The 13,850-nt window shown below is 37.0% G+C and overlaps 1 long non-coding RNA gene and 1 pseudogene across 1 annotated transcript; both read left to right on the forward strand.

Moving 5' to 3' along the window:
* The first annotated feature begins 5,669 nt into the window (after positions 1-5,669).
* Positions 5,670-10,397, forward strand: LOC105377397 (uncharacterized). Its single transcript, XR_939161.4, has 3 exons — positions 5,670-6,640; positions 6,751-6,821; positions 9,978-10,397. It is a non-coding gene; the product is annotated as an uncharacterized LOC105377397 (long non-coding RNA).
* Positions 10,398-10,716: 319 nt separating this feature from the next.
* On the forward strand, positions 10,717-10,823 carry LOC124900920 (uncharacterized; annotated as a pseudogene).
* The last annotated feature ends 3,027 nt before the right edge of the window (positions 10,824-13,850 follow it).

Below are 13,850 nucleotides of genomic sequence, written 5' to 3' on the forward strand. Positions count from 1 at the left end.
TTTAGCTGTCAATTGAAACAAAAAAATAAGCTCACTCATAATCCATTTTCTGTCATTCATGGATTAATGGGCGAGCTTGTGGGGTGGTTATGTCATCTTTGCTTTTCTTTATTCTCTTTTTAGCTTCCTGCCACTGAATCTTTGCATTATTCTTCAGAACCCACACTACTGCCTGACCAGGGAAATAAAGAGCTCTGAAACACAAGTATTTCTTTTACTATTTTTTTAGCAGTTCTCCAAAAATTGTTGTCATAGGAGGAGGAGGCCAAAGCAATTAACTTAAAAGGAAAGTGTTTATATTTATTAGTTTCAAATATCCATTTACCATAAAGGTGGATCTGTTTAACTTTATACACAAAAAAGGGACTAGAAATGCTACTTCAATAAAGTTGAGTTTGTTTAAAATCTCTAAGAAACTTACATATTGTCCACTTCTACAAAGGAACAAAACTTTTTAAAATTAGATAATAACTCTTCTTCCTCCAAAAAGCTTTCACATTTCACAATCTTAAAATACATTTCCACAGCAGGTACTTTGTCATGATGAGTGCATTGGAGCATGCTCCTTGGAAGATAAACAGTGGAAGATAAACAAAATGTTGGGCTTCAGTTATAGCACAGCCTTCCAAAATAAATAAAGTGACTAGTTAATACTTAGAGTACTGGAATTTGCTGGACTGTTAGCCAAACGAATGTGTACATATGTTCAAATCTTGAATCTCTGGTCTGAGGAAAGAGCAGAAAGAAGATAAATGAAGGACCACTGACTGACCTTGTCCAGAGGGTGTTAAGTATTGTAGGGACCATTCCTATTCATGAATGTGCGTGCTTGTGCATGCGCCTATGTGTGTGTGGTGGAAGATGGGAGTGAGGTAGGGAGGAAAACAGATAAGGTTAGCATCACCTTTTTTTTGACAGTTGAAGCTAAGCAGACAGTCTCTAAAAGTCTTTTTCTGACAATTTCTAAGGCTTCCATGATAAAAATCACTTTGGGTATCTCTACCTTGGGTGAGGTTTCAGGCAGTCTGATTCTGAAGATTTTTTTTGCTGATGGTGATGCCATCTTTTTAGTTTGAAGATTCAACTAAGCTTTACTACAACTTACTTGGTCTATTTGTCTCTCCACTATGTACAAGTACCTGTGTTTGTATTTTTTTTTTAGCAGTCTCTCAGGATATTGGAAAACACCTAGTTCACAAACAAATACATAAAACTAACATTAAATTTCCAACGCAGCATCTGAGGAAAGTGCAAATATGTACTGTATTGGGCACAGAAGAATCTAGCTCCCTGAACCCATTCTCGATGATCAGACTTAAATTTAATCAACATCACCATGTCCCCCAATCGTTCATGTCTACGGCAGCCACATTGTTGGTTGCACTGGAACTAGGAAAAAACTCTCTTCACTGATTTGCATAGAAAAATAGGAGCTGAAAGAAGGAAACCAAGAGGTGTAGGTGCAATTTCCGAGAGACTCATCAATGCTCTTTAGTTCCCAGAATAACTGTTTCCTACTCTTGGCAGGTCGACCTTTGGGGCAATGTGTGATTTCTCTTTCTGGGCCAGTAAATAGTGAAGGTCAATTCTATTGTGTGGGATAGGGGTCAAGAAAAAAGGAGAAGAAAAATGGCTTTCTGTATTAGTATTAGTTGGGGGAATTTTACCTCTTCTTTTTAATCTACATACTTGCCTCTGAATAACAATGCTATTTCAAATATTTAATTCAAGACACACGTTGGTGTCAAGTTGCAGTAAAGTACCACTTTTGATTTTTCAGGCCCTTAGGAGTGTTATACTTTATTCCTAAAATTTCCTTGAGATCTTAGCATGTTTCTATTCTTTTTTCATGCCCTTCAGTTTATTTCTTACTACTACTTCTGGAGTTTGATTTGTGGATCAAGCTAATTCACACTGAGTCAATAGAGATATGCATTTTGAAAACTCACCTTTGAGCAGCTATTTTACCATGTTATTTTTCCTGTACCAACTGACATCCTCTAAAGGAGAGTTATGTTCCTTTAACCTCACAAAACACAGTTTGATATTTCAGAAAAATGTATGGTTTACAAATCAAAAGTAACATGAGGCAGAAACATCCTTTGTGAAAACTAAAAGGAGGGACAATTAAGCACAGTTCTTAGTTTAAGAAGACCCTATGTGTATAATTAAAGTCAGAATTCAGAATCATGTAAATGGCTCTGCTGAAATTATATCAACACATGTAGGTAAAAAGGAGAAAAACAACAAAAAGTTACGTCACATTGTAGTAATTATTTCTTTACTTCCTAAAAGTGCCATGAGAAGACTTTTAAAGGACCTATTGTAAGTCGCAACAAATCAGAAATAGTTCACTGTTCAATCAACAAATAATTTTTAGTATTTATCATTTGCCAGTCAAACTGCTAGCTCTGCTGCTTTTATAAAATACTTTTTTCTTCTTGTCTATCAGAATGAAGAATTTAAGATTCAGTGTCTTCAAAATGACATGTAAATAATTTTCTTTTAATTTAGTAGATATTTAATAATCATTCTAAGTACTTATATATAATTACTTATAATTTTTTTTTTTTTGAGACAGAGTCTTGCTCTGTTGCCCAGGCTGGAGTGCAGTGGCACAATCTCGGCTCACTGCAACTTCTGCCTCCTGGGTTGAAGCAATTCTCCTGCCTCAGCCTCCCGAGTAGCTGGGACTACAGGCATGCACCACCACACCCGGCCAATTTTAGTATTTTTAGTAGAGACCGGGTTTCACTATGTTAGCCAGGTTGATCTCAAACTCCTGACCTCAGGCAACCCGCCTGCCTCTGCCTCCTAAAGTGCTGGGATTACAGGTGTGAGCCACTGCGCTCAGCCACTTATAAATATTAATTACAGAATATGATTCCTAAAAATCTTAGTTTGAAAATTTCAGATCAATAAGAAGCAGTCAGCAACTGCATGACTACTCTAAAGCATTCTAGATAAGAAATCAAATCTCCCGGCCGGGCGCGGTGGCTCACGCCTGTAATCCCAGCACTTTGGGAGGCCGAGGCGGGTGGATCATGAGGTCAGGAGATCGACACCATCCTGGCTAACAAGGTGAAACCCCGTCTCTACTAAAAATACAAAAAATTGGCCGGGCGCAGTGGCGGGCGCCTGTAGTCCCAGCTACTCGGGAGGCTGAGGCAGGAGAATGGCGTGAACCCGGGAGGCGGAGCTTGCAGTGAGCCGAGATTGCGCCACTGCAGTCCGCAGTCCGGCCTGGGCGACAGAGCGAGACTCCGTCTCAAAAAAAAAAAAAAAAAAAGAAATCAAATCTCCCAGCCTGGGCAATGTAGCAAGACCCCATCTCTACAAAAAATTAACCGGGTATGGTGGCACATGCCTGTAGTATCAGCTACTCAGGAGGCTGAGGTGGGAGGATTGCTTAAGCCTAGGGGTTTGAGGTAACAGTGAGCTATGATCAGCCTGAAAAAAAAGAAAAAAAAAGAAAAAAAAGGAAAAATGAAAAAGAAAAGAAAATATCTTAGAATTGCGTTTTAACAACAACATAATGAGGTATATAGTTAAAATTAACAAGACTTGGTCTATATTATCTCTCTTCTCCTACATGCATCTTTAAGTAAGGGTTACCCTCATGCCTTGGTACCAGCTGATTGATGAAGTTGTACAACTCACACTCTAATTCCATACCCAGTAATCCCAGGACTTTCTGCATGCTCCCATTCCAGTCCACTTCTACCTATTTTTTGCCCCTTGGATTATATTCTCATTGCCAGCCCTGATCCAGGCTGTGGTTCTGTTGTTCATACTTGGTTTCTACATCTATGACTCTTCATGCTTTTTAAGACCAATGATTTGGACCCTCCATTTCCTTTCTGGTTTTGGCTCCTTCTTGCAGAATTCCTAGCCTGGTTTTAACATGTCAGGCTCTAGTCCCCAAGCTTTGTGATATCTGGCCAGTGCCCTGGGTGACCCCATTCAGGTTATATTGCAGGTTATATTTTATATATTTAAAATGGTGAATGAAATAAGATTCACAGTAGCCATGGTATGTGCATTTTTATCTTCAAATGAGAAACGACTTTTCTGATGTATGTGTTTAAAACCTATGTTTATTTTTCTGGTAAAATGCTCTATTTATTTATCAGCAAAATGCTAATAAGAGTTATTTGAGATATAAATATAGTTTTGGGGTGTTTTTTACATTTTGACCAATTCAAAAGAATTTACTGAAGTCCATAACTATATTTGGTTAAATCATAAATGGTAATGCATATGAAAGCATTTTAAACAGTTTCATTGTTCTGCACATGTTTGTGGTTATGTTATTAGGCATAGCTGGTAGTCTCAAGAATAGGCAATGCCTTTGCTTAACATTAAATCTATAGTTGAGTCAGGTTTATGTAGAAAGTGGCTTTTCACTATATAAAATTTTATGTATTAATATCTCAATTAGGAAATAATTTTATGAACACCTATACAAAGAATAGTATCAAAATGAGTGATAAAAATGAATATTACTTTCAAATATGCTTACCTTACTTTTTAGTTTTATTTTATTTTATTTTTGAGAGGGAGTCTCTGTCTTGTTGCCCAGGCTGGAGTACAATGGTAAGATCTTGGCTCACTGCAAACTCCGCCTCCTGGGTTCAAGCAATTCTCCTGCCTCAGCCTCCCAAGTAGCTGGGATTACAGGGGCCTGCCACCACGGCCAGCTAATTTTTGTATTTTTAGTAGAGATGGGGTTTCGCCATGTTGGCCAGGCTGGTCTCAAACTCCTGACCTCGGGTGATCCACCCGCCTTGGCCTCCCAAAGTGCTGGAATTACAGGCATCAGCCACCATGTCTGGCCTTTTTAATTTTATTAATATGCTGAAAAGACTTGGTTTTGATAAAATGCTGAAGATTTGGTTGAGGATTTTCATACTTTTAGAATCTCCCTCCCCACACCTCATACAAATACAGTTTCCTTTCAAATAACATTCTCTCCTGGTAGAATACAAGATTAGATAGCTATCCAAAGTAGCCACATGACAATTATCTTGAAGAATAGCATGTACTTCACCTAGCAGGAGAAACTTGGATTTTTCTACCTTTTAAAAGATAGGAAATTTGTATGTTATTTCTGGTATTCCAAGGGAAGAAATTTGAGTGATCTTCAAGGGAAGGGTCAGCTGAACTCATGAAACATTTTGAAAATTATATTTTATTTGAAAATTATATTTCAAAAATTATATAACTGACTTACTTATGATATAAGAATCATGTCACCACCTACAGCATTTATAATCTATATACGAATATATTCAATACATTTAATTTTAGTTCTAAATATTGTACTCAAATGAAAATAGTGCTCACTGGAAAAAAATTCTTTTCATAGCTATTTTTTTTTCTAAACGTAAATGAAAAACATGCAAAATCAAAGTCACATCAAAAAAACTGACCAAGGGGAATGGAGGGAAGTTCATGTATACTCAGAACTCATGGAACTCTATCTTTGGCTGAAGACTTTGTAAATAAATCTTGTACAACATAGTGGACTGGGGTTAGAGGCTATTTAGTGTAAATAAAACAAGGCTTACATTTGGCATAGTATATTACATAAGACTTTCTCCCAAGAATTTTAAATATTGGAATTCATAATAGAAAGCCAAATATGTCTTTGGAAGTCTAATGGGTTGTTAAAAATGCTCTTCAATTATATGACATTTTAAAACATGTATGTTGGGACTATGAGCTATGGAGTATTTGAAACATCCTTATGATACTTGTTCTGGGGCTATGCCTGCAATTTCCAAATTTGGGAGATCATTGAACTTTATAAAGAGAAAAAAATAACTGCCTACTATGTATAAGGTTTTTCATTTATATCTCTGTTTCTTATAACAACCAACAAGGTAGGCATTCTACCCACAAATTATGGATAAAGACAGATAAGCTTTAAGGGTACTTCTCAAACTTCATTTTTTCATTTCTTTGTGTGTCTTCAAGAAGCAAGTAAACTTATGCTTCATTCATTGAGAGAGATATGTTTATCCACTACAGATAGAGGAAATGGTGCAATTCACACACCTGCAGAAACTCCAGGTGTGGTTGAGCATGTGATGGATGATTGAACCAAAGGTTTCCTTTCAAGGGTAGAAGTTTAAAATATGGAGAAGATCAGTGAAAGAGCAGAGCATAGACGTATGCACTTGGAAGAAGGTACTGTATATATACATATATATGTATGTTTCATATCTTCATTTGGAATCTCAAGGTGGGTGCTGAGGAACATGATTTTCTTTCTGTATTGTGTGTTCTTTATTCTTTATTCTTCTCCCTTTTCCAATAATTGCTGCACATGCAGGAACTAGCTCATTTACTGGCTTTGAATATATACAGATCCAGGAGATATGAAATAATTTTAGGAGCCACAGAAAATACTGTAAACTTTTCACTCCTCAGTGTCTTAACACTCAGATTCTTGTGGAGGAAAACCCTAGAGACTCCTTCAATTCAATTCAGTTCAATTCAATTAAAAAAGTATTACCTTTCTCAGAAGACCATCTGTTATGCCTCTTTCTGATTGTTCTTCTCTCTTTTCTTCAGGGTCAACTTGAAAAACCTGGCCCCTGAGTTTCACCTTTCAAAATCCTTTTCTCATTAAAAAGTAAAAGTGAGACAAAGATGAGATGAGGGGTGCTTATATGAAATCTCTTATGTGAATTTGTTTTAAGGTAACTTATTTGAAGCTCTGACTCTCTTCTTTTGATCCCTCAGCCCGAACAATCCACCAGCAACTCATGAGCTAGCAGCAGAAAAGATGACAGAGCTGGGGCTGGCAGAGCGAGGTATGAAGAAAAGTGTGACTTTTATCACCTTTGACATAACCTTATATGAGTCATATTTGTGTCCCTCTGGTTCCAAATTTTATTACCAATGGAAAACCCCCCAAAAAAGGACATCAAGTTTAAAATTTAGGTACATCCCAGCTTCTTTGCATAATGTAGAATCATAGAAGTTTAGAGCTAAAATGAACTTTGTTTCTCCATTGAGTCCCATGTCTTTGGCTGCCTTAGAAAGAAAAAAGATAAGCATAATACCTTCTGACATATGCCAAGCGAAGTACAGCATTAGGCTTTTTATATACATATTCTCTATACATGTATTTTATAATCTTTCAAATTCTTACAATAAACATCAATTTAGGAATCATTATCCCCAACTTATAGTTGAAAACTCTGATGTTAAGAGAATTTAGGAAGATTTTAAGATTTTTAAGGGCAGAGGAAGCACATATTTTTAAAAATTACTCTGATTGTACCAGAGAAAACATTTTCAGGGTATAAATGCAGATATGAGAAAACCAGCTGTGGCTTATTGCATTAGTCTCAGCAAGTCAGGATGTCAGCCTGGATTAGAGTCAGTTGAGATGAAGAGAAAGAAAGAAAATCAGTAGAAATTTAGAGTATAGAACTGATTGGACTTGGTTATAGATTTGTTGTCAGAGGAGAGGAGAAAGAGAAGAAAGCCACATTTGACAACCAGTGTTTGGCTGGAAGAACTGGCTGGATGGTGGAGTCATTTGCAAAGATGAAAAATCCTAACAAGAGGATTTGGGAAGTGGAAATGAGGCAGGGAGCAAAGGATGGGGAAGGAGATTGTGAACTGCCGCCATGATACAGGGAATTTTTCAAATAGGTTTTATTTTTTGGATTGTAGATCTGGGAATACATATTCTATCAAATGCCCACTCAACCCCTTTTTTTCTCCCCTCATCCACATGGCAATCCCAAGGGTTCTTGAGCCTTGAGTTTGAAAATGCAGATGCTAACTGCATTTTCTAGATAGCTGTAGAGGTTGACATTTATCAACTCACTTGATCTAAGACCATGTTGTAAGGAAAAAGGCTTTGCTGCAGCCAGGCGGGCATAGGCAGAGGTAAACATCCTGCATGACTCAGCAGGATTGGAGTGCAGGTGCACATTCCCATGTTTTATATAATCACAGCTATGTAGACATAACATAGAGAAGCTCATCACCTGGTTCTCAGCCACTGTGGTTTGTGAGGTGTATAAATGTAACACTGACACTGTGAAGGAGCTGCTGAATAAAGCCATGTCTCATCTACCTGCTGTCTCTTGAGTGTTCTTCTAGCTCACTGTGCCCCATCTACCTACTCCCCTCAGACCTCAGCTGGGGCTTGAACCTGACATATGTGATCCCCTTAGACTTAGCTAGATTTTGGTACATTGAAAGAAAGGGTATTATTTTAGAAGAATAATGTGTAATAAGGATATCACCTGAGTTTAAACTGGGATTTTTAAATTTTGGTGTGTGTTTGATAAAAAGGTGCAGCTAAAAGCTCAAAGAGGTGATTTGTGTGAAATAATTTACATAAGTAGGAAAGTGTCTTCAAATAAAAGGGTGTGTGGGGGTAGAGATGGAAAGGGATATGAACGGACAAGAGGCTCTCTCCTTTACTGATGGGTCTCATGGTCTCAGTCTGAACCCTGATGGAGGCAGGGGCTACAGGAGGACACTGAAGATTCCGTTTTCCCAGGCATGGAGTCACCTATCATGTGGCTTAGGGGCTAAAGGGATGAAGCAGGATACAGGTTAGGGAAGAGCACCATTTTCACCGTATCTGGGGATAATACAGCCTGGTTCTGAAGTGATAAATGTTGTTTCAACTTGAGGGTTTGCACTTTAGGTTTGCACCAGGATAGGTGTTGGTACTATGAACAGGGAGCTAATGTTCAGAACCATTCTCAAGTGTTTCTGCTAGCCCTCAACAAGGGATGCCAGGCAGAAAGATCTGGGAGGAGTTCTTGCCAACTCTGTTCTATCTATCTGGGGACTACAGAAATATATAAATGAGACTCTGCAATTATACATAGGGCCATGAGATTGAGCTATGCTGTATTGTGGTTCTGTTTGTAAACACAGGGTGGTGAGGCCTGGGGTAAATGGGGATTACACTAGAAAAGTAGTATGCTTCAGAACAACTGATGGAACTTATTTTAAAATGACCCATGCCCATGCCCCACCTCCAGAGATTCTGATTTAGAAAGCCTAGGGTGACATCGTGGCAGCTGTGTGGTGCCAGAGCTCCATGAGTAGTTCCAATGCTTATGCTTGGTTAAAAACCACTGCATTTAATTTGTCAGAGTTGAGTCAGAGGTGGAAATGGCTAGCAAAGGAGAAGAAATTTAGATTTTTGGAAGTATTTCCCTTTTTGACTTTGTTTTATATTCTTGTCTCCTTCTCCCTAGCTTTCCACATTCCTATCAAAATAGCTTCCTTTCCCTAATATTGGTTTTCTTAATTCCTCACTGAAGCTTTCTCCGAAGGAGAATTACTGGAAGATTCAGCCAGCCTTAGTCTCTTCATACTTGGACTCAGTTGAAAAGAAAATTTAAGAATGCGAACATCTTTTTTTTTCTTCCATAGAAGAAAATGGCTCACAATCTTATTTTGTTTGATCAGCTCAATATTAAATAATTATGTGAATATTTTTCTTGAAGCATCCTCTCTCTTCCACTACTATTTCCACAGCTCACTCTACTGTTATTTTTTGCTTAAAAGTTATCAATGGAATTTAGACATCAGTGTACCTTCAGCTTTATTTCTCCAGTCTGGTTCCACAGGCTGCAAAAATAACCCTCCAGAGTTGTAAGCCACAAAAATGACCCCTCACCAAACACATCTTAGTCCATTCCTATGTAAACTAGGGAAGTATGTCATTCTTTTGTAGAATCTATATCTATAGTATTAAAAATAAACTGGGTTAGTGACTTAATTCTTGTTCAATGATTCCTTTATTTTCCAATGTTATTTACAATTTTCAATACAATGGCATGCTTGCTTTCTTGAAATAAAGCTGAAATAAAATAACTGTAACAATTTTTTTAGTGCAAAATTTCAAATGTCCATTCTATTAACTGAGACAATAGAGGTCAAAGTCACATCAGGAATTAAACATATCTTTCTCCATTTATTCCCAGGAATGAAAGAGAGAGAACAGATCAGTGTTCAGTTTGAAAGAGCCATAATTCAGCAGTCTTTCTACATTACCTCTCAGAAGAAGGAGCCTGCATGTCTAAAGAGAGAAGTGAAGTTTAAGTACTGGAAAAAAGGAAAGTCTTCAGCCTTGGGAATGTAATAACCTGGGGTCAGCTGAGAACCCTGAGGAGGACTGACCCAATCAGCTGCTGGGAGAAGCAACATAACTGTTCTGCTGGAGGGAGAAACAAATTCTAATCAGATGTGAACCAACTATCCAGGGAGCTTCTGTTGTCATGAGAAAAGGAAGTGCTCTTCCTTTCAACTGGAAAACTAGAATGTACCACTTTTTTTTTTTTTTTGTTAATGCTCCCTCTTTTCTTTTTTTATTAGCTTTGTAATAAAAATTTAATTTAAAAGTTGATATGCAAACAAGTGTGTAACAATCTGAATATTTAACATTGATAGATCTATTTTAGAAAATTAAAGTGAATATATCTGAGTTTTAGAGTTTAATGTTTACTGCACACAGGATGAAACAGAAACTAAACTTTGTTACATTTTTAAAAAATTCTTTAACTTCAGTTGGATTTACTATTTGTAAAGTGAAAAGAAACTCTTTTTCTCCAAAATTTTTGTCCTTTACTGAGTGACTTTAGAAAATTGATTTCACTATTCCAAGTTTTAGTTTTTTATTCAGAAATTAAGAAATATGTCAGTATGTGTCTATTATTACTATAGATCGCTTCTTGGCCTTTTGGCTAAGATCAAGTGTATTATTATTATAGAATGGGTTCTCAGATAAAGAAAAAACTAAGAATTTTCTCAGATTTTTGGGAGTATTTCATTATAAAAACAAAAACTATGTAAGATTAAATTGATATTACCTTTTCAATGGACTCACTTGAAAAAGAGTTACAAGATGCAATTTGAGGAGTTTTACGGGCCAATGTTAAGGCTAGGCGTACATTTTCTATTTTGAAATCTCTGGTATCTTTGTGGTACCCAGAATATGTAGTGAGGTAAATAGATATCACCTTAAGAAACAGAAAAAAGAAAGAATAAAAAGAAACACCTTCTATTTCTCAATGCTTATTAACTAAAAATGCAAAATTTATTCACATTTTTCAATAGAGGGGTCATATGGTTTGACACATCAAATACCATATAAATAGTGGTAACACCAAACAGAGGCTTGAGGGCCTCTTTTAGTGCCCTGCCTCTTCCTACAGCCGCTCCACAAGATTTCATAATACTTTTTCCATGTAGACAACTGACATTTTCTCAGTTATATAAAAATTATCTTTTGAAACACTTCTATTTTCATTGATCTGTGAGTTGTGGTCTAATTAAAAACAGGTAAGACACGTTCCTGAACTTTCCCACCCTCTACTTTCTTCTGCCCCTAAATTTCTCCATGTGAACATGAGATTCCAGCAAATACTTCAATGAATACGGAAACATAAATTTGAGTGTTTATTGTCTTCAAAGAAAGCAAAAAGAATAGTGCCAGTGTATTATAAAGACTCATACTTTCACGCAAACAAACTCCTTACTGAAGGAAAAGGGACAAAGATCATTTCTGGAGAACGGAAAGACTCAAATAATTTTATCGTCCATGTTCCACAGACGATTGAGATGAAGTCATATCATTATAACTAAGCTTTTATTCTATCATTTTTATATGTATGTTTCATAGAAAAGCTATATGAGAAAATACAGAAATGAGGGGGATTGTCTGTGTTATTATTATTTTTTAAAAATTCTCGAATTGGCGGCCAGGCGTGGTAGCTCACGCCTGTAATCTCAGCACTTTGGGAGGCCGAGGTGGGCGGATCACCTGAAGTCGGAAGTTTGAGACCAGTCTGACCAACATGGAGAAACCCCGTCTCTACTAAAAATACAAAATTAACCAGGTGCGGTGGTGCATGTCAGCAATCCCAACTACTCAGGAGGCTGAGGCAGGAGAATAGCTTGAACCCAGGAGGTGAAGGTTGCAGTGAGCTGAGATTGTGCCATTGCACTTTAGCCTAGGCAACAAGAGTGAAACTCCATCTCAAAAAAAAAAAAAAATTATTGAATTGGCTTGGGTTTTGACAGTTTCTATCCACCACTGACTTCTATACATCTAAACCTCACACATGCAGCCTGGCCAACATAGTAAGACCCTGTCTCTACAAAAATAATTTTTTTTTTTTAATTAGCCAAGGATGGTTGTGCACACCTATAATCCTAGCTACTTGGGAGGCTGAGGCAGGAGGAGTGCTTCAGCCCGGTGAAATAGAATTGCACCACCACACTCCAGTCCATGATCACACCACTATCATCCAGCTTGGTCATAGAGCAAAACTCTGTCTCTAAGAAATAAAATAAATACATGAATGAATAAACAAACAAAACTCACACATATCGGGACTAGAGGAAAAACAGAGTACATTTTTTGATCTCAGAGACTGGTAGATAGGAGTAATTAAGCAGATATTAGCCTAAGGAAATACTCTGTTTAAAATTTTCTTTTACAGTTATTTGACAAGAAATCTTAGAGTCCTCACTTTCTGGGAGCTCAGAGAAAGGTAAAAGCCTTAGCTGAATTTTAATCTTTCAATCGTGTCCTTATTGTGAGAAATGACACAACTGAGGTTGAAATGCCCATCTGAGATATCCCTTGAGATACAGCTTTAGTTCTGTTTCATCAAAAGCATATTAAGAAGTCACAATGTGTAAAACATTGTAGTTTGGGGATGGATAGAAAGAGGAATTAGACATGGCCTCTGGTTTAAAAGGAGATTTTAATCTGGTGAGGAGACTGATTGGAGAGAGTATACAATCAGATTTAGGGAGTGAATGAAATAGAAGTTGTGGGGAAAATGCTGAAAGTGGTCTAAGTAGCCAAGGCTGCAATTGTGGTTCTGATAGGCAAAGTGTTATTGTTGGGGATGTCTTTTAATCCCTCTCTTTGCTGAGTGCCCTAGGAGCTACACTGCCTAGGTCTGAGGGGGATACTTGTAAATAAATCCCATCTGAATTGGGAATCAAGAGCACCCATTAGTCTGCACAAATATCAAGTATTTTTACAACATCTATAGTCTCAGTGGTTCTTAAACCTTGCAACTGTGTGTATCTTTTAGAAAATGTAAATAAACTAAGATCTTTTCTCATAGAAGTGGACAAAAAAAAAAAAAAGCACACGAACAAATTCAAGGACTTCTTCCTAAAGTCCTTAGGCAAATCATCTAATCTCTCTGTGTCTCAGTTTCTCAATCTGTAAAATAAGAGTGATAATACCTGCTTTATTAAGTAGTGGGGAGAATTAAATGGGAGAATTATATAAAGTGTCTAGCACAGATCCCAGGGCAAATGTGCAATAAATGACAGCCATTATTATATTCTTTCTTTCTTCCTTTTTACTATGAGACTATGCTGTTTCCTTAACTGTGACTGATCCTATCACAGAGACAAGGCTGGGGAGTCAAATAAGGGACTGGTCACCAAGTAAGGCAAATGAAATAAAGGGGATAGATGAGATTCATGCCCAGGCAAAAATATGATAGAATAAGGAAATCTGAAAACTTTTACAGGAAGTCATCTGGGGAAATGACTAGGAGAATATGTAAAATAACAATGAAGATGCTGTTTTAACTGTAGCTATATTGTGAATTTAATATAATGCTAATGCTAATGGTATTAATTTCAAAATCGATGGCAAATGCACACTTATGAAGAGCTTATTATATGCCAGGCATTGTGCTTAGCTTGGCTTACATAGGTCACCTTTTTAAATTCTCATAATATAAAATAATACAGCCCCAAATACCCCATCTGAAATTCTAAAATAAAAAGCCTCTGAAAACTTACATTTTGCAATGATTGATTCA

Source organism: Homo sapiens, chromosome 4 (genome assembly GCF_000001405.40).
Source record: "Homo sapiens chromosome 4, GRCh38.p14 Primary Assembly".
Taxonomy (NCBI): domain Eukaryota; kingdom Metazoa; phylum Chordata; class Mammalia; order Primates; family Hominidae; genus Homo; species Homo sapiens.